This window comes from Homo sapiens, chromosome 5, assembly GCF_000001405.40.
Source record: "Homo sapiens chromosome 5, GRCh38.p14 Primary Assembly".
NCBI classification, from domain to species: Eukaryota; Metazoa; Chordata; class Mammalia; order Primates; family Hominidae; genus Homo; species Homo sapiens.
The window spans coordinates 180,596,474-180,598,883 of NC_000005.10; the positions used below are offsets into that span (position 1 = coordinate 180,596,474).

The window sequence follows — 2,410 nt, forward strand, 5'->3', positions numbered from 1 at the left end:
AAAGGCCGCAGGCGCTGGACCCCGGCCCCGAGGCCCCCTTCCTCACTCCTTCTGAGCAAACTTTCCTACTCGAAGGTGGGGACCGGTGGGCAGCCCTGGTGGTGTCAGCCGGCACCCTGAGTTTCCCGATGGTCCTGGGACCCTTTTTCAAGGGACTTGTGGGGGCTCCTGGCCAGGGCCACCACAGCGGCCAGCAGCAGCGACCCTCCACACCGCCCTGAGTGGGCCCCACAAGGACAGGCACCTCGGCCAGTCCCAGCAGGCACTCTGGGCTTTCTCCTGCGCCAGTAGGAAGTGGTTTGGCTCGGCCCCGTGGGCCCTGGGGCGCTCAGCACCCCCTCCTCAGCCCCCGTCCTCCCTCCTCATGGCTCGGCCCCGTGGGCCCTGGGGCGCTCAGCACCCCCTCCTCAGCCCGCGTCCTCTTTCCTCATAGCTCAGCCCCGTGGGCCCTCGGGCACTGGGCAGTGTCGTGAGCATATCCGAGCGCCCTCTGTGGCACCGTCCCTGGGTCAATATTGATCTGGCTCTCAGCCACTTCCTTTTGCCCCTTCCCTGTCGGCACTCCCACCCACAGGGCCCTGCTGTGCGGAGGGGAGCAGGTGCTGTCGATGTGGTTCCTGCCTTGTGGGTTCAGGGCATTGGTGAAAGTGACAGAAAAGCTGACCCACGTGGCTTTAAGCAAAGACTGAAATTCCAGGAGTGGCTCCGCCTTCAGGGAAAGGTTGATCCAGGCTCAAAGGATGTCACCAGGACCTCATACCTCATTCTTCCCTGCCATCTCTCAGCTCCTTTTTTTTTTTTTGAGATGGAGTCTTGCTCTGTTGCCCAAGGTGGAGTGCAGTGGTGCAATCTCGGCTCACTGCAACCTCTGACCCCAAGTTCAAGCGATTCTCCTGCCTCAGCCTTCTGAGTAGCTGGGATTACAGGCGCCCGACACCATGCCCGCCTAATTTTTGTATTTTCAGTACAGCCAGGGTTTCATCGTGTTAGCCAGGATGGTCTCGATCTCCTGACCTCGTGATCTGCCTGCCTCGGCCTCCCAAAGTGCTGGGATTACAGGCGTGAGCCACCGCGCCCGGCCTCTCAGCTCCCATTTTTTAGAGTTGTCCTCCTTGGAGTGACAGGCTGGCAGCCAGCAGTGCCAAACCTCCGATACCAATTTGGGCCCAGGCACACAAGCGCTGGTGCTATCCCCAGGGCCCTCCCGTGAGGCTTCACCCCACTGCTCCAAGGACCGTGCTGGCCACAGCAGCAGCAGCAGAGGAAACATCGTGTCTCATTAGGTCCCACTTCCCTGCTTCAGTCTGTTCAGTGAGGAAGGAGGCTGAGGAAGGGGTGCTGGCAGGGATTCAGGAGGTGACCCTGGGCAGGGCTCCACACCTCTGTGTGCCCAGCAGCACTCCCTGTCCTCCCCACCCCAATACCATTCCATTGAGGAAAGCACTTCAGTCCCCAGAGCCCCACCGTGTCCAGGGACTGAAGTGGTTTCCTGCGTGGAATGGCACTGGGGTGAGACGGGCATTATCACCCTCACGATTTAGAAGAAACACAGCTCAGAGAACGTCAGTGACCGGCCTGCAGTCCCCTGGCAGTCTGAGATGGGTCTGCACGGTGCCCAGGCCATGCTCTTCACACGCCCATTGACCCGGAAGGCACAGCGTCCTGTGCTGCCTCCACGTGCCAGGGCTGGGAGCAGCCAGGCAGGGGTGAGAGTTGGGGGGTCAGACCCAGGGGAGGCCCCAGCCCAGACTCCAGGCCAAGATCCCACCATGGCAGAGATGCACTTGCTGCCGTCCCAAAGCAAGGCCCCTTCCGAGCGTTCCCTTCCGTTACTGCTGCCTCTCCGTGGAGACTGGCTGATGACTTCCAGGTACCCGGCTGTCCCTAGGGGAGGCCATGTCCTTCTCAGGGGAGCTGCCTCCTTCCAGGGCCGGGCAGTCCTGTGTGGCCCTGCTGCCCACAAGCCAGCTGTGATGGAGCTCCTGGCAGTGCCTCAGAGCAGCCAGGGATGGGCGGGACCCTGGGAGCTGCCCGGCTGACTCCACCCCTGTGTGCCACAGAGGGGCAGCCCAGGCTGCCAAGGATGCTGCCCCCAGGCGTGTTCCAAATCCCTTAATCCTCTCTCTCTGTGGCCGCTCTGGGCTCCCCATCAAGCCCTAGTTCAGCCCCCACATCCTCTAGCCTCCCGGCCCACCATCAGCTTTATGGCACCCTTGGCCACTCGTGGCTCGGGTGGAAAGTTTAGGAGTTTCTGCTTCCCTCTTTGGATGCGCCCCTGAGGGGAAGGTGGTGTCCCCCACTGGGCCCAGGAAGGGGAAACGGTCCCCTCTCCTCGCGGTGGTGGCTGCAGCCAGTTACTCCTCCAGAGCAGAACAAGGGTGGGGGGAGTGTGGGGGCGCTTGCTGACCTC

The 2,410-nt window shown here is 62.2% G+C and overlaps 1 annotated feature.

The window, feature by feature from the left end:
* Positions 240-411: a silencer, noted in NCBI's record as "fragment chr5:180023713-180023884 (GRCh37/hg19 assembly coordinates)". NCBI's record gives its function as "represses an EF-1alpha promoter that drives an FKBP-Casp9 reporter gene in an ReSE screen in HepG2 liver carcinoma cells and K562 erythroleukemia cells {active_cell/tissue: HepG2 | K562}" and the evidence as "EXISTENCE:reporter gene assay evidence [ECO:0000049][PMID:32094911]".